Source organism: Homo sapiens, chromosome 14 (assembly GCF_000001405.40).
Source record: "Homo sapiens chromosome 14, GRCh38.p14 Primary Assembly".
Taxonomy (NCBI): domain Eukaryota; kingdom Metazoa; phylum Chordata; class Mammalia; order Primates; family Hominidae; genus Homo; species Homo sapiens.
Window position 1 is genome coordinate 22359788 of NC_000014.9, and position 25411 is coordinate 22385198.

At 37.8% G+C, this 25411-nt stretch overlaps 1 long non-coding RNA gene and 1 further gene across 2 annotated transcripts in view, besides 1 other annotated feature; one reads left to right on the top strand and one right to left on the bottom strand.

The window, feature by feature from the left end:
- Window positions 1-25411, top strand: part of TRA (T cell receptor alpha locus) — a 930229-nt gene that overhangs the window by 737884 nt on the left and 166934 nt on the right.
- TRD-AS1 (TRD antisense RNA 1) overlaps window positions 19618-25411 on the bottom strand; it is a 103555-nt gene continuing 97761 nt past the window's right edge. For both annotated transcript variants that reach the window (NR_148361.1, NR_148362.1), the window contains 3 exons: window positions 22564-22618; window positions 22057-22193; window positions 19618-21887 (listed from right to left, as the gene is read on the bottom strand). This is a non-coding gene — a long non-coding RNA (TRD antisense RNA 1). The remainder of the gene's footprint in view (window positions 21888-22056; window positions 22194-22563; window positions 22619-25411) is intronic.
- Window positions 23867-24576: an enhancer, noted in NCBI's record as "active region_8113". NCBI's record gives its function as "activates an Ori minimal core promoter by ATAC-STARR-seq in GM12878 lymphoblastoid cells {active_cell/tissue: GM12878}" and the evidence as "EXISTENCE:reporter gene assay evidence [ECO:0000049][PMID:35858748]".

Below are 25411 nucleotides of genomic sequence, written 5' to 3' on the forward strand. Positions count from 1 at the left end.
CAAAGTGCTGAGATTACAGGTGTGAGCCACCTCACCCAGCCAGCAGTTTGCTAGTATTTTGTTCAGGATTTTTGTGTCTATTTTCATCAGGGATATTGGCCCGAAGTTTTCTTTTTTTGTTATGTCTCTGCCAGATTTTGTTATCAAATTAATGCTACCTTCATAGAATGAGTTAAGGAGAAGCCCTTCCTCCTTGGTTTTTTGGAATAACTTCAGTGGGATTGGTACCAGTTCTTTATATATCTGGTAGAATTCAGGGGTGAATCCATCTAATCAAGGGCTTTTTTTGTTGGTGGTGGTGGTTTTTTTTTATTACTAATTCAATTTTGGTACTTGTTATTGGTCTATTCAGGCTTTCACTTTCTTCCTGGTTCAATCTTGGGAGTTTGTGTGTTTCCAGGAATTTATCGATTTCCTCTAAATTTTCTAATTTGTGGGCATAGAGGTGTTTGTAATAGTCTCTAAAGATCTTTTGTATTTCTGTGGGATGAGCTGTAATGTCATCTTTGTCATTTCTGATTGCACTTATTTGGATCTTCACCCTTTTACAAATTTCTTAATCTACCTAGAAGTCTATCAATCTTTGTTTATTCTTTCAGAAAATCAACTCTCAGTTTCATTGTTCTTTTGTATAGATTGTATGTCTCAATTTCCTTATGTTCTTCTCAGATTTTAGTTATTTCTATTCTTCTGCTAGCTTTACTGTTGGTTTGTTCTTATTTTTCCAGTTCCTCTAGGTGCAATGTTAGATTGTAAATTTGGGATATTTCTAGCTTCTTGATGAAGACGTTTAGCACTAGAAACTTTCCTCTTAACACTGCTTTAGCCGCATCCCAAAGATTTTGGTAAGTTGTATCTCTTATTTTCACTAATTTCAAAGATTTTTTAAATTTCTGTCTTAATTTCATTTTTCACCCAAGAGTTATTCAGGAAAAAGTTGTTTGATTTTCATGTTTATGTGTAGTTTTAAGAGATCTTCTTGGTATTGATTTCTATTTTTATTGCATTGCAATCTAAGAGTGTGCTCGGTATGATTTTGATTTTTTTAAATTTATTGAGACTCGCTTTGCAACCAAGCATGTGGTTGATCTTAGAATATGTACCTGTGTGGATGAGAAGAATGTCTATTCTGTGGTTGTTAGGTGGAGCATTCTATAGATGTCTACTAGGTCCAATTGGTTTAGTGTCACGTTTAAATCCAGAATTTCTTTATCAGTTTTCTGCCTTGATGATCTGTCTAGTGGTGTCAGTAAGGTGTTAAAATACCCCACTATTAGGGTGTAGCTGTCTACACCTTGATCTTTTCATAGATCAAGAAGAACTTGTTTTATGAATTTGGGTGCTCCAATGATGAGTGCTTATATATATTTAAGATAGCTAAGTATTCTTGTTTAATTGAACCTTTTATCATTATGTAATACCCTTCTTTATCTTTCCTGAATGTTTTTGGTTTAAACTCTGTTTTATCTGATATAAGAATAGTGACTCCTGCTCTTTTCTGTTCTCCATTTGTGTGGTACATTTTTTCCCATCCCTTTACTTTGAGCATGTGAGTGTAGTTACACGTGAGCTTGGTCTCTTGAAGACATCAGAAAATTGGGTCTTGAGTTTTTATCTAGCTTGTCACTCTGTGTCTATTAAGTGGGGCACTTAGACCATTTTACATACTGAATTAGTATTGATATGTGGGATTTTAATCCTGTCATTGGGTTGATAATTGGTTGTTTTATAAACTTGATTGTGTAATTCCTTTATATTGTCTGTGAGCTATGTGCTTAGTATGTTTTTGTCATAACAGGTATTAATCTCTCATTTCCATGTTTAGCATTCCCTTAAGGACTTCTCATAAGGTTGGTCTGGTGGTAACAAATTCCCTTAGAGTTTCCTTCTGTGTTAAGGATTTTACTTCTTCTTCACTTATGAAGCTTAGTTTGGTGAGATATGAAATTCTTGGTTGGAATTTATTTGCTTTGAGGATGCTGAAAATAGGTCTCCAATTTCTTTTGGCTTGTAAACTTTCTGCTGAAAAGTCTGCTGATAGTGTTGTGGGATTCCAGTTATAAGTGACCTGACCTTTCTCTCTAGTTGTCTATAATATTTTTTCTTTTGCATTGACCTTGGTGAATCTGATGACTATGTGCCTTGGGGATGATCATCTTGTATAGTATTTTGCTGGGTTCTCTGTGTTTCTTGAATTTGTATGTCAATCTCTCTAACAAGATTGGGGAAATTTTCATAGATTATGTCCTCAAATATGTTTTCCAAGTTGCTTACTCTCTCTCTTTCTCTCTCAAGAATGCCAATAAATTGTAGACTTGATCTCTTTACACAATCCCATATCTCTCAGAGGTTTTGTTCTTTTTTTAACATTCTTTTTTCTTTATTTTTTTCTGACTGAGTTGATTTAAAGAACAAGTCTTCAAACTCTGAGATTCTCTACTCAGTTTGGTCTATTCTGCTGTTAATGCTTCTGATTGTATGTGGAAACTCTTGTAGTAAATTTTTCAATTCCAGGAGTTCAGTTTAGTTCTTTCTTAAAATGGCTATTTTGTCTTTCAGCTCTTAGATCATTTTACCGGATTCTTTGGATTTCTTGGATTGCATTTCAACTTTTTCCTGGATCTCAGTGAGCTTCTCACCATCCAGGTTCTAAATTCTATACCTATCACTTCAGTCATTTCAGTCTGGTTAAGAACCATTGCTGGGGGCTACTGTGCTCATTTGGAGGTAAGGAGACATCCTGGCTTTTTGAATTGCCAGAGTTCTTATGCTGATTCTTTCTCATCTGAGAGGGCTAGTGTTTCTTTAAGTTGAGTATAGTCAGTTGGCTTCATTTCTGGGTGCTTTCAGAGGGCCAAGGCTCTGTACAGGATCTTTATTTGTAGCTGAATTCTTGTCTTAGGTTTCACAGGCACTGTACATTGGCAAAATATTTTGGCAGTTGTAATTTGGACTGTGATGCAGTAGATGGTGTTTAAGAGTGATGACCAACAGATAGGCTCTTATTCAGCCATGCAGCTCTTTTGTATTTCACCATGTTCTCAATAGTGCTCTGTGGTGGGGTAAGGCAGAGAGATAACTCCCTCACCAGGTTCACTCCTGGGCCTTGGAGGAGCCCCCTCCAATCACTGGGGTCATGCCCAAGTTTCCTTTGTTAGGTGTTCTGGGCTGTGGGGCTCCCTCAGATAGAGGTCATGGCTGGCAGACAGGCCACTTCCTTCCCAGACCAGCCCTGTGGAGAGAGGCACCCCACTTTCATGCTGGTCCATGAACCAGGGCATCTCAACCCTCTCAGTGTTTTGAGAGTGAGAACATTTCCCCCACTCAGGCACCACCAAGCCAGTGAGTCTTGCCTATCTAAGTACAGAAGGACCATGGAGGTCGCATGGTCAGCCATCAGGGTCTCCATTTTTTGTGGGGACAGAATCTTACTATGGTGCTCAGGCTGACTGTATGTTGAAATGACAATATTTTAGGTATATTGGGTTAAGTGAAAATAATTTTATATATTTATTTATGATTTCCTTTAATGTAGTCACTAAACATTGTTAAATTATATATGTGGTTCATATTGTATTTCTACTGATAGCAGTTGTTTAAAAGGATAGACATGAGAATGTTAACAATAGCTATTCCTAGTAGTAAAGTGTAATTTTTAGCTTTTCTTTTTTCTAATTTTTCTTGAATAAATATGTGTTCCTTGTGTAATTTTAAAAGTAATAAAGGTAAAAATACACAATGAACTACTGCTGTGAAATATACCACTAACAGAAGTACTAAGCAGAAATGTCAAGTCTTAGAGTCCTAATTATTTATTCATTTAAATACATATATATTAAGTGTCTCATGTGCAAGGCATTTGGACAGTTGCTAGGAAAATAAACACAAAAAAAGATGAGCTATAATTATTTTCTTCAAGGGGTTCACAGTCCATTTTGGAAGTTAGGCTCATGAATAGAATATTAGAGTACAATGCGGTCAGTGATACTATGGTGATTTGTATTAACTCTCCTCCCCTTCTGCTTTAAATGTTGCTGTTTTTCTGGCTCTAACCTTAGTCTACTTCTCTGCCCACAACACAATTGCAACTAACACCTATATACTAATGGCTATGGCTTTAACTTTGACTTTGCTTCAGATCTCTACATCCAACTGTCTTTTGGTCAGATGGCCATTGGGCAACCTAAACTGTATGCCTAAAACCCATCATCTCTTCACCTCCCCTGCTCCAGACTCTTCTACCTCCGTAATTCTTGTCTTTGTTAATGATGCCACCATTTAACCAGTTGCCTCATGACTCTGTAAAAAGGAAATTTAGTTACTTTACTTCACTTCTCAAAATTCTTCAGGCTTGGCAGTGCACAAGCCTACATATGCCCTTAGCTACCAATCCAACTTCATCTCCTGGAACACTTCTCATCAGCATTGACACTCTAGAAATACCAAACTACCAAACTCAGGAAACATCACAAGTTATCACTTCTCTTCCTTTCATTGTTGCGTGTGTCCTTCCCTCTGCTTGAAGTGTCCAACCTCATCACCACCTCTTCTTCATGGTTCCTAGACATTCCTCTCTGATACCTCCCTTGATCTTCCAGGCAAATTAGGCTCTCTTCTCTCTGGCTCCCCTTGAACTTTGTACATACCTCCAACATAGTGATTTTCCCATTATATTATAATACCAGCTTTCTGTATGATACTCTATTCCCTAAGGACAGAGATTGTATCTCATTAACCTTGGTATCCTCAGCGTCACACGGAATGTGACAGACAGAAAACTTTCAAGTTTACTGAATATTTCCTATCTTTCTTTACCTTTTCCACTCTATTGTGGTCACTCTTACCCTAGAATAATGTAGATGTTCCTTGAATACCAACCAGGCTTCACTTCTGGGTCTTTGTTCTTGAATGGCCTTACCCCAGATGGTTCCCTCTGATAAACCAATTAGTCACTGCTCAGAAGTCACCTCATCAGAGAGGTTTTTCCTTCAATCCTGTATAATATAGTGCCTGGCAAGAAAAGGATGCCCTCTCTCACCACTCCTATTCAACATAGTATTGGAAGTTCTCAATCAGGCAAGAGAAAGAATAAAGGGTATTCAAACAGGAAAAGAGTAAGTCAAATTGTCTCTGTTTGCAGATGACATGATTGTATATTTAGAAAACCCCATCGTCTCAGCCCAAAATCTCCTTAAGCTGATAAGCAACTTCAGCAAAGACTCAGGATAGAAAATCAATGTGCAAAAATCACAAGAATTCCTATACACCAATTATAGACAAACAGAGAGCCAAATCATGAGTGAACTCCCATTCACAATTGCTACAAAGAGAATAAAATACCTAGGAATACAACTTACAAGGGATGTGAAGGACCTCTTCAAGGAGAACTACAAACCACTGCTCAAGGAAATAAGAGAGGACACAAACAAATGGAAAAACATTCCATGCTCATGGATAGGAAGAATCAATATCATAAAAATGACCATACTGCCCAAAGTAATTTATAGATTCAATGCTATTCCCATCAAGCTACCATTGACTTTCTTCACAGAATTAGAAAAAACTACTTTAAATTTCATATAGAACCAAAACAGAGCCCATATAGCCAAGACAATCCTAAGCAAAAAAAAAAAAAAAAAAAAAAGAAACAAAGCTGGAGGCATCACACTACCTGACTTCAAACTACACTACAAGCCCACAGTTACCAAAACAGCATGGTACTGGTACAAAAACAGATATAGAGACCAATGGAACAGAACGGAGGCCTCAGAAATAACACCACACATCTGCAAACATCTTTGACAAACCTGACAAGAACAAGCAATGGGGAAAGGATTCCCTATTTAATAAATGGTGTTGGGAAAACTGGCTAGCCATATGTAGAAAGCTGAAACTGGACCCCTTCCTTACAACTTATACAAAAATTAACTCAAGATGGATTAAAGACTTAAATGTAAGACCTAAAACCATAAAACCCTAGAAGAAAACCTAGGCAATACCATTCAGGACATAGGCATGGGCAAAGACTTCATGACTAAAACACCAAAAGCAAGGGCAACAGAAGCCAAAATTGACAAATGGGATCTAACTAAGCTAAAGAGCTTCTGCACAGCAAAAGAAACTATCATCAGAGTGAACAGGCAACCTACAGAATGGGAGAAAGTTTTTGCAATCTATCCATCTGACAAAGGGCTAATATCCAGAATCTACAAAGAACTTAAACAAATTTACAAGAAAAAAACAACCCCATCAAAAAGTGGACGAAGGATATAAACAGACACTTTTCAAAATAAGACATTTATGCAGCCAACAAACATGAAAAAAAGCTCATCATCACTGGTCATTAGAGAAATGCAAATCAGCCAGAGTGAGATACCATCTCCCACAAGTTAGAATGGTGATCATTAAAAAGTCAGGAAACAACAGATGCTGGAGAGGATGTGGAGAAACAGGAATGCTTTTACACTGTTGGTAGGAGTGTAAATTAGTTCAACCATTGTGGAAGACAGTGTGGCAACTCCTCAAGGATCTAGAACTAGAAGTACCATTTGACCCAGCAATCCCATTACTGGGTATACACCCAAAGGATTATGAATCATTCTACTATAAAGACACATGAACACATATGTGTATTGTGGCACTATTCACAATAGCAAAGATTTGGAACCAACCCAAATGTCCATCCATGATAGACTGGATAAAGAAAATTTGCACATATACACGATGGAATACTGCGCAGCTATAAAAAAGGATGAGCTCATGTCCTTTGCAGGGACATGAATGAAGCTGGAAACCATCATTCTCAGCAAATTATCACAAGAACAGAAAACCAAATACTACATGTTCTCACTCATAAGTGGGAGTTGAACAAGGAGAACACATGGACACAGGGAGCGGAACATCACACACCGGGGCCTGTCTGGGGGTCAGTGGACTAGGGGAGGGATGGCATTAGGAGAAATACCTAATGTAGGTGACGGGTTGATGGGTGCAGCAAACAATCATGGCACGTGTATACCTATGTAACAAAACTGCACGTTCTGCACACGTACCCCAGAACTTAAAGTATATATATATATATATATATATATATATATAGTGTGTGTGTGTGTGTGTGTGTGTATTTAAAAAAAGATACTTTCCTAATTAAAGATAGTTTCCTACCTTGAAAAATCTCTAATGCCAGCTACTAAAGTAACAATTTCTCACTTATCCACAGGGGTTATTTCTGGCCAGTGAGATGATGAATGACTGTTTTATGTTAATTTTTAATTTTATAGTATTCTCATGGGATTAAAATAATTCCGCTAACCACAAAAAAAAAAAAAATCAGGAAACAACAGATGCTGGAGAGAATGTGGAGAAACAGGAACAGTTTTACACTGTTGGTGGGAGTGTAAATTAGTTCAACCATTGTGGAAGACGGTGTGGCAATTCTTCAAGGATCTAGAACCAGAAATACCATTTGACCCAGTAATCCCATTATTGGGTAGATATCCAAAGGATTATAAATCATTGTACTATAAAGACACATGCACGCGTAAGTTTATTACAGCACTATTCACAATAGCAAAGACTTGGAACCAACTCAAATGCCCATCAGTGATAGACTGGATAAAGATAATGTGCCATATATACATCATGGAATACTATGCAGCCATAAAAAGGAATGAGTTAATGTCCTTTGCAGGGACATGGATGAAGCTGGAAACCATCATTCTCAGCAAACTAACACAAGAACAGAAAACCAAACACCACATGTTCTCACTCATAAGTGAGAGTTGAACAATGAGAATATATTGGCACACGGAGGGAATATCACACACCAGGGCCTGTCGGGGGGTTGGGGGCTGGGGAGGGATAGCATTAGGAGAAATACCTAATGTAGACAAGGGGTTGATGGGTGCAGCAAACCACCGTGGCACACCTATACCTATGTAACAAACCTGCATGTTCTGCACATGTATCCAATAACAAAGTATAATATAAAAATAAATTAAAATTTATATTTTATATATATTGAAATTATTTATATATTTTGAAATATATTATATATATTTATATATAAATATATATTATATATATATATATAAATATATATTATATATATTTATATATAATATATATAATATATATTTATATATAAATATATATTATATATATTTATATATAAAATATATATTTTATATATTCCACCAGAATATAAGCATCAACTGGGATCTAATTAAACTAAAAACTTCTGCACAGCCAAAGAAATAATCAGCAGAGTAAACAGACAACCCACAGAGTGGGAGAAAATATTTACAAACTATGCATCTGACAAAGGACTAACATCCAAAATCTACAGGGAACTCAAACAAATCAGCAAGAAAAAACAAATAATTCCAACCAAAAGTGGGTTAAGGACATGAATAGACAATTCTCAAAAGAAGATATACAAATGGCCAACAAACATATGAAAAAAAATGCTCAATATAACTAATTATCAGGGAAATGCAAATCAAAACCATAATGTGATACCACCTTACTCCTCCTACAATATGGCTATAATTTTTTTAAAAATCCAAAAATCAAAGATGTTGGCATGGATGTGGTGAAAGAGAACAATTTTACACTGTTGGTGGGAATGGAAACCTATGGAAAACAGTGTGGAGATTCCTCAAAGAACTAAAAGTAGATCTACCATTTGATCCAGCAAGCCTGCTCCTCAGTATCTACCCAGAGGAAAACAGGTCATTATACAAAAAATACACTTGTGCATGCATGTTTATAGCAGCACAATTCACAACTGCAAAAATATGGGACCAGCCTAAATGCCCATCAACCAACGAGTGGATAAAGAAAATGTATACACATATATACCATGGAATACTACTCAGCCATAAAAAAGAATGAAATAATGGCATTCACAGCAACCTGGATGAAGCTGGAGACCATCATTCTAAGTGAATTAACTCAGGAATGGAAAACCAAATATTGTATATTCTCACCTATAAAAGTGGGATTTAAGCTATGAGGATACAAAGGCATAAAAATGATATAATGGACTCTGGAGACTCAGGGGAGAACGGGTGCACCAAAATCTCAGAAATCACCCTAAAGAATGGACCCATGTAACAAAAACCTCTTGTTCCCCAAAAAATTATTGAACTAAAATAAAATAAAAGTCATTTTTTATAAAAGAATCTAAGTATCAAAAAGCCCAGGACTTTGTCTGAATTATTCAACAAATGAATAAAGATCTGATACATGTATAAATAAGTAAATGATGTTATTTATCACCTAAATATGACACTGTCTCTCTGACTTTAATTTTCCTTTCATCTGCTTATTTTTCTTCCCAAGCCATGAATATGGGACAAAAAAAAGGGATTAAGACACAAACACCAAGAATTGGCAAGTATAATGAGGCTGAACTTGAAAAATAACAATAGTTCAGGTAACCATATATTAAATTTGTCTCAAGAATTTATTTTATTTTCTCATTCATTTATTCAACAAATATTTACATCACGCCTATTATGAGTTCTTTTTGAAAATGCAATAACTGTCTCTTACATTTGTACCATTGTTTATAGTTTACAAGGTCCTTTCTGATACTTATTTTAACGTATCCTCATAAACAATTCTTTGAGGTAAGCAGGTCTTATGAGGAATGAGTCTTATGAGGAATGAGTTACCAGATTAAGGATCATTGGGTTGTAAAAATCTTGAGCTAGAAAGCATTCCATCGTTTTATTGTTGATACAACTATATACAGAAGCCCATTATCAATCTATTTATTTCACCACAGAGAGCTATAATACACCCATTGACCATCAGTACCAGTATATTAATTTTCACTTCTGGGATTTCCAGCCTACTCTTAGCTTCAATGTTAGTGTGAATATTTCATGGTAGAATGCACAAACTTTGAGGAAGGTGCAATGCTTTCCCTGTTTCTTCCACTTATGTTCAGGTTCTGCACATACTGTATGTTCTCCATAAATATTTATTGGTGAAGAGAACAGTTATTAATGTAAGAATCTCTCTATTCAGAAAATATCCAAGGAAACTGTGATAGCTGCTGGTTTCCAAAGATGGTCTTCCAATGAACTATGTCTCTCAGTATTCGGAATTTTGCATAATTCCTTCCCCTTGATCTGGACTGGCTCTGTGACTTGATTATAACCAACAGAACATGGTGGTGGGTTAAGCAATACTCATTTCATAGGGGGCATTTCTGGTCACATGATACTTAATGGTCCATGGTCAAATACTAGGATCCAGCAAAGAGCCAAGAGCTGTTTCTCAAAAAAAAAAAAAAAAAAAAAGAAAAAGAAAAAGAAAAAAAAAGAAAAAAGAAAAAAAAAGTTATCTGCAGAGTATGGCATGGCTTTGCTCCCAGATTCTAAAAGTCTGTTCTGGAATTTACCTAAGAGGCCTGCCAAAAGCTCAATAGGCACTTTAAGCACCACTGAATCAGATGTGTCATATGACCAAAGTGGCAGGGAAGCTTGCCACCCTCTCACAAGGGCTTGTCTTTCGCCAGGCCTTATTCAAAACTGGAAGCCTTTCAGATTACTCATTCAGCAAATAGGTTTAGACTATAACAACACACCCAAATAAGATATGTTGCCTCCAAAATCCAATGAGGCACACCAGAAATTGGGACTCTTTCTTTATGGTAGGAGAGACCAGATGTAGCATTGAACTTCACCTTGAAAGAGATATCTCAACTTTCCCCAGACCATGAAACCCCAAGAAAGTTCCTGAAGGAGCAAACTTCTAAATTTTTCTGGGATTTATTTCACAACCTCTTGCCTCTATGGGTCTTACCAAGGTGTCTAAAGTAGTTGCGATTTCCTGGTCCACCAGTGTAGAGGATCCATGTGGTGTGTTGTGAAATGAAGAGGCAATCAATTTCCTGTGGAATAGAATAGGCCAGGGTTGGAGAGTTGATATAACCCTGAGGTGAAACAAGGAGGGTACCTTGTTTCACCCTTCCAGATGAAAGAAAAATGCTTCTGATAGTCTCTACTAACATGTATATAGAGGAAAAAATGACTTCCCATATCAGTATTCATATATTAGATGTACATATATTGATTTACTATAGCAATGAAACCACATCTGGAACAGCAGCTGTGATTGTACTCACCACCTGATTAAGTTTACAATAATCCTTTGTCATTCTTCAAGATCCATCTGTCTTCTGCACAGGCCAGATAGTTGAGTTGAATGGAGGTGTGGTGAAAATCACCAGCCCTGCATCTTTTAAATCTTTTATAGAGGCACTAATCTCTACAAGTCTCTACAGAATGCAGTGCTGCTGTGGATTTACTAGTTTGGAATACAAAGGCAGTTCTAATGCCTTCTACTTGTCCTCACTCCTCAGATCAGATAATCAATGTAGTTATTCTGCCTTTCCTGAGTGTGCCTCCTTCAGTTAAGCATTCTAGAACTTGGGAAATAACCATGGGGTAAGTTCAGAGCTAACTGGATGCAATATGAGATGGACCTGAGCCAAAATACCATTAATCATTCAGCTTCAATAAACCCCTACTCTGGTAAATAGGCAATAGTAGCATATTGTGTCTCCAAGGACTGGTATCATTTCAGAGCCAATGTCCAGAAATCCCCCAAAGGTCTGGTTATTTACCCTTCCCAAATGCACTATGACCTTGGCAAATGGCTTTAGGTCTTTTCAGGGAAGGAAAGAAAGAGAAATTACAGTCTAAACTTTTGGAATGTAAATATAAATTAGAAAAAATCCTGCAGTCCTTTTGGCAGGCAGGGTACCTCATCATTTTGTTCCTGCCCTGATATGGGTTGCCAGGAGTTGAGTCTAGCTATAGGCATACAAACAGTGAAAGATGTTGGGGGTGAGTCTTGAGGGGTCTCAGCAATTTTCCACAGAGTAAGTCCTTACAGCCTTTTCAATCAAGGGAGGACTAAACTCCTCAGAGGGAAAGGCTGCTTCTGCTGGGAAAGGAGACAGGGCTTTCAAGGTTCTCAGCTTCCAAAGAATCTGCCTACATGTTGCCATCTCAATTTTCAGGGGAGGAAAGAAGGAGAAATTACAGTCTAAACTTTTGGAATGTAAATATAAATTAGAAAAATCCTGCAGCCCTTTTGGCAGGCATGGTACCTCATCATTTTGTTCCTGCCCTGATACAGCCTGCCAGCTCTGTCCCAATCAAAGCCCTAATTTTAACTGTAAGACCTTCAATTGAATTGATGTTCTAATCTAGCTAGCTGCAGGATCAGTCTTTGGGCTTGGTTTTTTGAAATATCAGATCTTGCAGCTATGAGAGATAAGAGTTTCTTTCAGAGTAGTCACAAAGACTTTTCAGTCCCTTGCCTGCATCTTGAACTGAACATTCAACACTCTGAGTTTATTTCTTTTTCTCCATATTCTCTGTGACACTTTGAAGCAACCCACAAACTCCAGTCCTCATACTCCTTACTTCCACTACATTGGTCTATGGCAGCATCTACCTGGTAATCTAACACCTTGCCTTCTATAAGCACTTGATATCAAGGACTACTGTGTCCCATTTACCATTGGCAGTATAGTCACTAATGCTTCATCGAATCAGAGAATCAACACCAAATTCCCATCCTTAAAATTCTATCTCTGGATTCACTTCCAACACCAATAGTTGTGTCAGTTAAGAGTCAGTCAGGGAAGCAGAACCACTGTGAATGATACAGAATATAGGAATAGTGGATTCGTTGTGGAATCAGACCTTACAAATGTGAGAGAAGCTAGAGAAGGAAAGGTCTGGAAGAAGGAGTCAGAAGATCAGAAAAAGGGTCATTAACCTGTCTATCTTATGCAGTAGCACAGATGGACCAGACAGGCTGGGGCTTGGGGGAAATCTAGGAAGCTAAACACTTTCAACCACCAAAGTGGGACTGTGAAGGGGAGCTCATGAAGAACTGTATGGAGAGTGGTTACCTGTCTGTAGCAACCACTTCTGTGGGTCCACAGCCAAGTAGTTGGTGATGGGTCTCGAGTCACTGTTGTTCAGCAGAGCCAAGAGTCAGAAAGATTCGCTGGATGCAGAGTGAAGGAAAGCAAGGACTATATGGGACCTACCAAGCATCTCTCCCTCTGTCCATCACTGTATGTGACCACAGTGACTTCCTAAGAGTAATAGTTACCACTTCTGTGTTCTAACTCTTTTCCCATTTCATCTCTTAGCCAATGCTAATACAGAGCGATACATGAAAGGGGATTCTGAGAAATGCAGTTGTCTGCTTAAGCAAGTTGACCAGCATAATCCAGCACAACTTCTAAATCTCAGAAGATAGCAAATGTGGGCAGAAAGAAAAGTACAGATGCTCCACGGGTTCACTGGTGATCTTTATGGCTGCAACTGACCTAGGATTTGGGAGATGCTTGGAGAGGGACAGAGGGGCACACAGGAACTTTCCTCTCAAATATGAGGATATCAATCTAGATCTACGAGGAGTCCTTTTGGAGATAAAAAGAAATTTATAGGAGATGATGAACAAAAGGCCCAATTTCTATATTAGACTGTCTCCCTGAATGAGGGTGAATACCAAGAGGAGACTGAGCCAAGGCCTCAGCCCTCTGAATTCTAAAATGTAGAGAACTTCATTCTGATCTATTTTATACAAATGGTGCTGGTCTCTCAGACAGTACCTTTTCCGATGAAAGAAAGAGAGAAACGAAGTAGAAGATTCGTAACCCAGCTCAGTAAAGAGGCTTACCTTTGCTCTTTGCTCACCATCATTCCCCCGCTCAAAGTCTCAGCTACCTGCCTCTGTGCAATAGCTACACAGTGCTCCTCAAGTATCTGCCTCCTGAACACAGAATTATAACTAACAAGTATTTAAAATTTATGTATTTGGTGCACATCTTTCAGTATGAGCTTTTTGGCACCAACTCTTACTGAATGCCAATATAAAAGTAAACAATTTGAAATTATTTTAAGTGATTATCAAAAATAACAGCATAAATTCTATGATGTGGACTTCAGCCACAGTCCCTTCCAGGGACTCTTCCAGGCAGACCAAAAGAGAAAAGCTGTCTGCAAAAGAAACTCAAAGTTCCCAGGACCAATAGCATACTTGAGTCAGATACAGCTCCTTAAAAGACAAGTAATTTTCAGAGGCCCTAGGGTAAACTAAATTAGTTTTAACATAATACTATTTAAACATGTAGAAACATAATATGATTTATAAACTCTATATGCTTATTGCTCTTATGCCAACAATTTAAAAATATAAATTAAACATTCACAAAGCTTCAAAACCACTACAACTTCAATAAATAATTTTAATTTAATGTAATGATAATACTTGGCTAAAACTAAATCACCAGGTTTTTTTCTTTCCACCTTTTATATTAGGTTTAGGTGGTACAGGTGCAGGTTTGTGGAATGGGTAAATATATGTCATGGGGGTTTGACAAGATACAGATTATTTCGTCACCCAAGTAATAAGCATAGTACCCAATAGGTAATTTTTCAATCTTCACTCTCCTCCTACCTTCCACCCTCAACTGGGCCCTGGTGTCTATTGTTCCCTTCTTTGTGTCCATGTGTACTCAATGTTTAACTCCCACTTATAAGTAAGAACATGCAGCCTTTGGTTTTCTGTTCCTGCATTAATTCACTTAGGATAAGAACTTCCAGCTCCATCCATGTTGCTGCAAAGGATGTGACTTTTTTCTTTTTTATGGCTGAGTAGTATTTCATGGTGTATATGTACCACATTTTCTTTATCCAGTTCATCATTTAAGTCACCAGTTTTGAGTTTAATAGATGAAAGATATATACGTGGTGCTGGGTTTTGCTTATTAACTTGATTCTTCTCATTTTGTACATAATTTTCATGCTTGTTTTCCTTTGTTTGAAACAAATTCATATTGAATTGTTAATTAATTCACTTGATGGGCCAATCAATTTACTGTGCACCAATAGTACAATACTGAAAGAAATATTTTTAACTTTTAATGAAGCATTCTTTACTATTGCTAATCAACTGTAGTACAGTGATTTATACAAAAGATGAGCTCTACACAGTACAGCCATGTGAATGGGGAATTTAGCACCAATCATTCATTGAGTTCCCCATGCTTACAGCATCTAACTTGTTATGATTCTATTTTCCAATGACTGTTTTATATTCAAATTACTTGACATTATTAGGCCTTCACTTAGTATTAAAGTAACTATTAGTATTAGCAAAGCAGGGCATCAAAATATTGTGACAGTGTTTGCTTATAGTTTTTCAGCCCCAACGTGAGTTAGTTGTGTTTTATGAGGGGTATGTACTCCTTATAATTTTGCATAATTTAAGGCTTATGTTTCCGTGGGGAACTGGTTCACAGAGCCCAAATACCTACAACTTTGTAGCACATTTCTGTTTTGATGCCGCTCTTTATTTTCTTAGCATTATCTACAATATTTAGCAACTGCTCTTTTCTAAATTAGTGGTAAAACACATCAAGGGAGTTGTTTGGCTTTTTCTGTGGGAGTGAATTATAGCTAACATCTGTGAAAAGTTATGTATCTGAATGCACATTTTCCAGCATGAGCTTTAGTACCAACTCCTAATGAATGCTAATATAAAAAGAAGTAAAACAATTTGAAATTATTTAAGTGATTATTAAACATAATAGCATAAAATAACCAAGATCTCTTATAGAAATGCTCATAAAGCAACAGGTGGAACATACCATACTAACAATGGCTGGTTCTTTCCATTAAAGCTGAAGTAGCTCCACCATGTGGCAGGAGTAAAAACAATCTACGATTCCTTTAGCTTGTTCACCAACTGAAATTACGCAAATCTCATTTAAGTTTGATGAGAACCACAAAATTACCCATTCTTCTCAGAATATATGGGCTATTAATTTTTATATCACATTACTTAAATTTCACATAATTTATGCTGCCCAACTACATGTTTTAGACTACCATTCCATTGAAAACACATTTTTAACTCCATAAAATTATGAAGACCCATGAAAATTCTAGAGATGCATATATTCCAAGTATAATAAATATCACAAATAACTTTTAAATTCAATTTTTAAATAATTCTTGTTACTATTATAATTTCCATACAGGTCTCAGAAGCATCTTAAAAGTAATGATAACTTTTTGTCTCTGTAAAAAGAATACTATTCAAAAAAGGACAAAAAGTTCATAAATGTGGAATACTAACTTTGTAACTAATATATAAAATACATGAGTTTTTTGATTCCTAAATTCTTCCAACAGAAATTCAAATAATGTAAAATATTGGTATCTTTAAGCCGTAACTTATTACCTTGTTAATTTCAAAACAGCATACTAGTAACCTGATCTTTAACATTAGTTGTTACCAAATTATAGTTTTTAAAAAATTTCCTAGGAAAGTACGCCATTTTTTGGGTATCGAACATCTCACCTCATAGGAATACGGGGATTGTTTTCCTTCCACTCTTTTGTATTTTCCAAATTTTCAATGTAATAAGCACATATTAATTTTATGATGAAATGAAATTTGTAAAAGAATAAATGTTAACATTAGAAGATAATTAACAAGTTATCTATCTCGAGTACAATATACAATACAAGGAAATTAATATACCACTTTACCCTGGTGGCAAGGAAAATAGGTGAGATATCTTTCCCATCACAACATAAAAATATATGTTAGTAAATATTCATATTGGAAAGGAATGTATTCTATGACCTAGCAATTACTGCGTCCCAGTCTTGGCATTACTCTTATTGTAAAAGAAAGCATGAACAAGCAGCAATTTTGGGGCCATAAAAAGTTGGAAATAACATAATCATATAGTAAAAAGTGATATCACAGGTTATAATAAGTCTATGTTCCATATATTAAAAATAATGACACGAATCTACATATAATGAAAAGAGAAGATTGCCAAAATGCATTATTGATTGAGAATGCAAGTTGCAGAATAATATATACAGTATTATGCTATTTATGTTGATAAAAATATTGTACAGTATAAACCCTAAATATTGCACAGCAAAAGGACTGTAAGTACATTGATGAATTCCCTGTTATTAGTACCTGTGGAAGAGGGAATTATATTGTGGGATGGGAGAACAGTCAGTGGAGAGTTTGGTTTTAATTGCAATGCTTTTATTTTTATAATAAGGATGTATTAGCATATTACTTGCATAATTAAACTTTGTTTTTTAGGTTTTCTTCTTCACCATCGTATATTTGCATGCATATACCTATGCAAATAACAAAGTCCACCTTTATTGGGGATTTGTGACTGGCATTTTTCTAAGCACTTTGTCATGTGTCATATATTGTATCATGTAAACTTATTATTAACCTTATGATGCTAATAATATTTTTCCCATTTCACAGATGACGAAACCAAGCCTCAGAGGAACTGAGTACATTGCCCAAATTCACCAAGCCCGTAAGGGTTACAATCAAACTTTGAATCCAGATATCTGTCTCAGAGTCCACAATCTTAACCAAAATTTTTTTTACAAATTCCCATGTAGAAGTGTGTACATCCACATACAGACGTACACACACACACATCCCTGCTGTCCAGCCTTTTCTCCCCCTGACACTTGAGTGCACAGGTCATTGGCATCTTCTCTCCATAACTTTCCACCATTGACAGAAATGTGTTTGCTCAAGGGATGAATTGAGGTGAAAACCTTACAACATTAGCTCTTTTGTAAAAAATCTGAGCAGATTTTTTATTTTGTATTTTGTTTTCCTGGTTACGCCTCTCCTTTTAAAGTTTTGAAAGGTGGCATTAATATCTATTTCTTTCCTGACTGCTCCATTTATTAGTTTCATTAGGATTAGTGAATTCTACTTGGTCTTTCCCCAATCCATTAATATTTTTTCCCTTCACTTAAAAACAAACAAACAAAAAAAAAAAACACTTGTTTTCCAAATGGCTTTGGGGTGGTAGTAGGATTTCCTGATGGCTAGAGGAAACTCCTCATGGCAGTATCTTGGTTGAGTAATTGGTCCTCGTCTGTATGTTCAAGAAGGTGAATGTTCTTAGTAAACCCAGAGGGGATCAGCCCATCAGAGGTAAGCTTCTGCTATGTAAATTGAGACGAGATTCAGGCTTAACCTCAAATACCAATGCATTTGCTCTTCTGGTCTCTCCCTTCTCCTCCTTATTATCATGATACTTTAAAAGCCAAATTACTGATAAGAAATTTGCTTGCTGAGAACATAGAAAGGTAAACGGCTCGAGAGAGGGGGTTGTACATTTTTCTTTAAATCTAAAAAACCACTATGAAGAATCCCAACCTCCCAACAAAAATTGCCTCTCTGTTAACTGGATTTTACCTGCATCCAGTTTTAACACCTCTCTCCTCTGGACAGTGCTGACACTGTCCTCCTGGGAATTATGACTTCCTTAGACACATAATGCTAGAGTCAAGTTGGAACTTAGATTCTTTTTCTTGCGGAAGTGGGAGGCATTGTGTCTTCTCCCTTCATGCATTAATTTAATTAGAAAAACATTCACTGTCTCTCACTATCAGCCTACAGATTCTCTATCTTCTCAGCCCGGTAAGAGCCTTATCACACTGAGATAAATGGTTCTCTTTGTTGTACCAAGGTGGTTCCTGAAGCATGGTAATGGGGAGGAGACACCTAGAGATCAAAGCAACTAATACAATCAACTCCAATCCAGCCCCAAACCAAGTCTTTCCACCAGCTATTCCTTTCATATCTAAATGTTGTCCTCTTCCTCTGCAGCAGGATAGAAAATCAATTTCTAAGTGTAAAGGCAGTAAACAAAATTTCAGAGATATATAGTATATGTAAGTTTGAGTGCATAAAGTTAAAAGATTCCCAAATATCTAAAAATGTTTGAATTAAAAAATCAGTATCAAATTAGTAAAAAAAAAAAAAATTAAAAAGGTATGTGAGCTGTATAACAGTCAAATGTTAATATGCTTAATATATTAAAAGTGTATATAAAAGGATAAGGACAACACTAGCCTGATGGATATATAGGCAAAATTCGGATACAAAAATTGTGTATAAATTACTAATGAATATTTGAAAAAAAACACTGAAAATTTTAAAATGCAATGAAGACAGCTATAATTCATATCAAGTTAACAACTATTTTTAAACAATCACAATCTAATGCTGATGAAATTCGGCATATTAAGAGCAATTACATTTTTACTGCTATGATTGCAAATTGATACAGTATAACAGTAGATTATTTGGCATTAGGTATCAACAGCTTTTAAAATAGTCATCCTCTTGACCCAAATATTGGAAATCTATCATTAAAAGGGTCTTCTGAGCAGATTTTATATAAGCAAAATGTTCATTAAATATTTTTCATACTTTCACGTAATTTGAAATAACATAACTATCCAACACTAGAGAAACAGTTAAGCAAATTGAGCAACATCTACCCAGTAGAATACTATGCCACCATTAAAAATTAGATTTTCAAGAGTTTTAAATTACATGGGGGAAAATAAAGTTAACAGAAAATTGAATGTACAAAACGGCCTCAACAATGTCAGAAAATATACTTAAGACCAAAGACTAAAAGGAAATATGCCAAAATGATGTAGTTATTGTCTCTGGGTAGTGAGATAATAGATTATTTCCTTCTTCCTCTTCTTTTTATAATTGTATGTAAACCACAATTTCTTCTTCAATGAAAACATATTTTTATAATGAGAAAAAATGATCTAATAACAGTATCTTTTAAATACAAGGTTATGTGCCCTGAAAACATTCCTAGTTTCCCTTAAAGTCATTTGTCTAACATAAGTGAATTTGTCTGAATCTCTCTAGAATACACATTCATATGCTCTACCCCAGGAGCAAGGAGTTCCTAAAATCTACTCCCTACTATGTAAAATAAAACTGCCTTTAATTTTTTCCTGAATTTGTTTCAGACTTCAAGTAGAGTTCTTTATTATTTCTGTTCAACAGCACAAACTACAAACATAATCTGTTTGGCAAACCATTTTTATTCAAAAGTATAATAATGCCTTGTTTTTCATCCTTCCAGAGGACCTAGTGGAAGAAAATGCCTAACATCAGGGAACAGTAGGAGCAGCCTAAATTGACCACAGAATTGTATTTGGCCACTGTCCTCAAAAAATTCAAGTGGATTCAGTAATCCTGAATACTTATGTACAACAAGCATTCCTACTATAATAGATCATGAGGATTAAAATGAGGTGAGTTCATTGGTGAGCATGACATGTAGCCATAGCAATTAATCTTAGGTTCCTTCTCCCTTAAAAATGGCTAATAAAACAGAAGAAATGCTGTATGAATAATTTCAGAATAACATGGAATAATTGTAGATATTTCTATAAGATTTGTACCAGATCCACTAGAACAAATCTACCAGTAGCTAAACACTGTAGAGTCTCTAAAAATGGACAAGGAGGAGATGTGACAAAGATACTCTTTAGGGGAATAAAGTCATCCTAAAAACTGAAGATATTTTCTGCTCTGCCAATCAAGGAATCACTGTTCTTTCCCCAGCAAGAAGGAGAGTGAAAAGAGGACCAAATTGGAGGCCCCAAATTTGCATTTTAATCATAACCTTTCATAGCTAATTATGAGATTTGAGCATTCTCTGGATCTCAGTTTGCCACCCATAAAATGATGGGTGGACTGAAAGATTTCTAAGTTTTCCAGTTCTGACATTGCATGGGTCTATAAGGAGCTCCATCTTGGTTGGCCCCTGAAGGCACCTGGAGACTTTGGTTTTAGGGAACCAAGGAGTCTCAGTGCTGAATGAGGATATAGTTCCCCGGTGTAGAATTTTAGAAACTATGCAAGCACTTGGATCTTTAAAAAAAAAATAGTTGGTCCCTGGGCTGTCTCTTACAACTTTAATATTTACACTATGACAAAGTGAAAGTGCTCATTCGTGTTCGAGCCAAAGTAATACCATTCTCTTTATTCATTCCAATGAGCTAATTTTACATGAGCAAGAAAGCACTGGAGAGGTACAGACCCATGGGATATTTGCCTAGCCTAAGTGAGTCTCAGATGGAAATAAATATGAAAAGCGTTAGCATGGGACCTGTGAGAAATTGATTCTTACATCTGGCCTCCAAAGGGTCAAGCCACAAATAAGTGACCTTTGACATGCCCCTTCTCTAGTTCAGCCTGGAGCTGCCCACATTTCCCAGTGGTGCCCAGTCAACTCATTCTCCTGATGCAGGATCATCAGAGAGAATCTGGAGTAATGGCAGCTGCGGGTAAGGGGCTGCCAAATAATAGTGGAACAAAGATCTCTTCCAAGTTTCTATTTCCTCCGAATAGCTCAAATACTTCAACAGTCCAGGTCCCCCTAAAGACTGCATTTTCTTAGCTGCATTCTCTCTAGTTGTGATGAGTGTCTCAAAAAGGAACACCTCTCCTCCTGAGTTTATGATAGTTTATGACCTGCCACTTCATTTCCAGCAGTGTGTCCCAGTTCCTCTTGCAATCCACAAAGGACACTTTTTCTTTCAGTAGCCTGGTGTGAGCTCTTGCCTCTCAGGATTAGCTGTGATCTTACTGCTGGGGTGGGAGCACACTTAGCCACAGGGCCCAAAAGAACTACTGTCACTGAAAAGAGCACTTTCCTGTATTTGAGGGCTCTTCCTCTCTTCTGGTACACCCGGGGAAAAACCTGGCAGAGTCCACCCACAGTCTTTGAGGATTAATTCTGTAAGAACTTCTTACACTGAAGGGAATCCTCCTCCAGGGGATGATTCTGCTCTGTGCTTCTGAGCTCTGATGGCAATCACATCAACATCGCCAGGGACTGTGGCAGAAGAGGAACATCACCCACTGGAAACCGGGGCAAGTTGCTCCTCTGTAGTTCCAGGAAATGGCCAGAGGCACAGCTCTGCTGTTCCAATTTGCAGTTTTCTCTAACATCAAAAATAAAATGTGATTTGCATTTGAAATTTTACAGAATTCCTCATTTTAGGTCAAGACTGGCCTTACCCATAGGTTAGTGACTTATGTGGTAGGATTTAACACACACACACACATACACACACAAATATTATCCATAAAAAGAATTATATTCCCACCAACCTGCTGTGGCATTCATCAGTGACCCTTTGAAGTTCAGCCATTGAAGGGGCAGGTTAAAATGCAAATTTGTTTCTTGGAGAGGTAGCACATAGAGCTATTATCAACTGTCAATGCTCCGGTATTGCTGGAATGTCAGACTAAGAAGTTTGGGTTAAAAATTAACATATCAGTAAGTGAAGACTGGCTTTATATATTACATATTTAATTTATAAAAATGGTGACATTAAAAGGTGGCACCAAAATGTAAATAGAATCAAGATCACTTTGGATAAATTAACGCATGACACAAGCCTTTGACATGTTATTAATGGAAATGAGTTTGGGGGATCTAATTTAGCCTTTGAGATTAGTGTCAACAAAGAAAGGTATCTCCTCTGGTGCCCATGGCAGAAGCAGAACATTAGTACAATTCACCATAGATCAGTTTCACTTTGTAATTCAGTGTAAGTGGTTTATATGATAGAGAGGGCAGGAAGATCTGGTTTTGACTCTGTCTCTACTACTTACAAGATGCGTGAAGCTGCTCAAGTCACTTAAGCAAGGTGAGCCTCAGGTTCTTCATCTACAAAAGTGGGATGTAGAAAAGAAGAGTAAATGTAAAATTCCTGTTCAGTAGTTGTCTATTAAAGAATCTCTCCTTCCTTCCTCTATTCACATCCATCAGGGAGAGGAGTAGGCTGATGGTGCCAGCTAAGGACCTCGGCACTCCTAGACCTATTCCTGAACCATTAATGGCTCTGAATTTGGGACAGGAATGTTACTCTCATGGTTAATTCCTTGCTCACTTGTCTGCTGGTGCTTGTTCACAATGTCAAAGATATGGCAACTTCATGGGAAGGCAGGTTTAACTTTTTGGTGTTTTTGCACTAGCCTGTATATCTGTCTACCTTTCATATGAGAACCACCTTGCTGATTCAGACTGGAAGCTTCAAGAGAGAAGTTTCTTTCCATTTAATGCACTGGGGATGGTGCTCAACAGAGAACCACACTCAAATCGGGGCTAAATAATATGGCAATATCATGGTTACAAAAGAAACACCTCCCTTTCTCACCAAATCACTGAATCCCTTATTCTATAAAAATGAAATTGAACTGCAAACATCACCACCATGACAAGAGGATTTAGGCACACTGATCAACTGATTAAATTCTATTTGTCATCCAGAGTGATCCTGGAGGCCTTCAGAGCCTGGAGGAAACCTCTCTGTGACTCTACTCACATCTTTACACACGGAAAATCCAATTAGGCTGAGTATCTACAGCAGCTTCCAGAAGTAAACTGATTGCAGAAGGGCAGCCTGCTGCCTGAGGACTGCAGGGGACGAGGAAGGGGTGGGCCACCTGGAAGGGACCTCTGCCTTCTCAGCACCTAGAGTTGGTTTCCAGATGATCACATAGTTTAACCCTTTTCTTTTATAGACAAGGAAATTGAGGCCCAGAAAGGTTAACAGTCTTGCCCAAGACCTAAGATTAGAAGGCAGAGTTGGGGTTGAGAATTGCTTATGTGAGACTCAGACCCAAAGCAGACGACCATATTTTCAAATTCAGTGAAAACTGGAAAACTCGTATGGGCCTACCCAGCCTGGAAAATCCCCATGTATTACCAATACATAGTAAACGAATCAAAGATTGAAAAGTTTACTTGAAAACCAATCAGAAGTCCTCTCCCACATGCAAAAATCCCACCCTAATAGAACACTCATCACCCGTCAGACTGTCTTAACACTTCTTCCTTTTTCTTTCTTTGCAAACCCCTTTGAGCCTGTGCCAGAAGTGACGGTGTCTGCCACCCTCTCTGCAGTCAGTCCTGACCAGTTCTCTGGGGTTTACACCTGTCCTCTGGCCACTCGTCTGCTGCACTTCCTGCATCTGCTTGTTTCACCTTGGCCCCAGCTTTACCTGAGGGGTGCTTGGCCTGTGCCTTGAGTTCCAGGGCCTATGTTTACTTCAAAAATATTAATGTCAATTCCTTCAACTTGTTCCAAAGACAACAGAGCCTCTCACAAGCAGGCAAGCCCTGCCACTTGTTACGTAGTTGAGGCTGACGAGCCTGCAGGTCCCAGCCAACTTTATCACCTCCCTCTTCTGAGGGGTGGAAGTCCCCAACATCTCAGGGTCCCCTGAGAGTATGGGGATTCCCACATCGGCAAGTACCTGCTTCAGAGAAGCCCATGAGAAACTGGCCCAGAGCAAGCGGGTCCACCCTCCCATTGTGGGAAAGTGAAGGGCAGAAGGAGTCTGGCTGGAGGTCACTCCTGCCACTGATCTTCCTCACTCGGGTCCAGCCTGTCAGAGGATAAAGCACAGTGGTGGGTGGGGGTATCTGGCTCTCCCCCACCCTCCTTCTCAGGGGTTCAGTAGTCCCTGGGAACAAGATTCAGCTCAGGAATTTCTGGGATGCTGGTCAGTTCTGGCCCTAAGGACACTGGGAGTGACAGCGGGCTGCTAAGGATGTGACAGTGACTGGGCTGTTCCCTTCACATGACTACCAGGGCAAGCCCTGGCCAAATCCCAGCACCTGCTGAAAGTTGAAGCTGACCACTGGAGTGATTAGATTCATGACATGTGGTGGAGGCCTGGGGAGTGGAGCTACTGGGAAAGGACACAGCTAAGGAATCTCCTCCCTCCCAGCATTGCTTGACCCTTTCACAAAGACAGTGGTAGGTAGAGGAAGAAGGAGAATTGGCCTACTCCTTCCTTTTCGCTGTATATGGTCATAGAAATTGTCAGAACTTTATATCTAGATTCAAGTTCTATCTCTAGCACAATTAGCTCTAAAACTTTGCGAACGTTACTTAACCTCCTAGGTCCTCTTTGTTCATAAAACGAGAACGTAATACATACCTTGGTTGGCTGTGAAAGTTATATGAGTCAGTGTTGTGGGGAAGTTGAAGGCATGCAGTAGATGCACAAGGAAAATTAAATTCCGTTCCCCAGTTCCTGGCTTGCAAGTTGGGGGTTAAACTCAGTTAAGCTCAGAGAAGACATGACATGACGGGGGATCAAGGGAGATGTGGGAAGCTCACGGGCTGTGGTTCCCACTGATCCACATTAGACTCCAAATGACAACACCCTCACAATCCCATGAAATTGAGCAGAATTTCTCTTCTTTCTTGTGATGTTTCCAGAAATGAAGAGAGAGGGAAGGAAGACACAGACTCTGATCTTTGGCTTCACTTTGGTTCCAAGACCTGGAGCTGATAGTGTATGGAGGGTTGCCTGTTTGTCCAGGCACTATGAATAAGACCAAGGTAATCCAGCCCAACTCTACGACACAGCTAAGCCAACAAGCAGCTGGATCTTGTGTCTCAGCACTCACAGAAATGTATAAATCATCTGATACCAACTGCTCCCC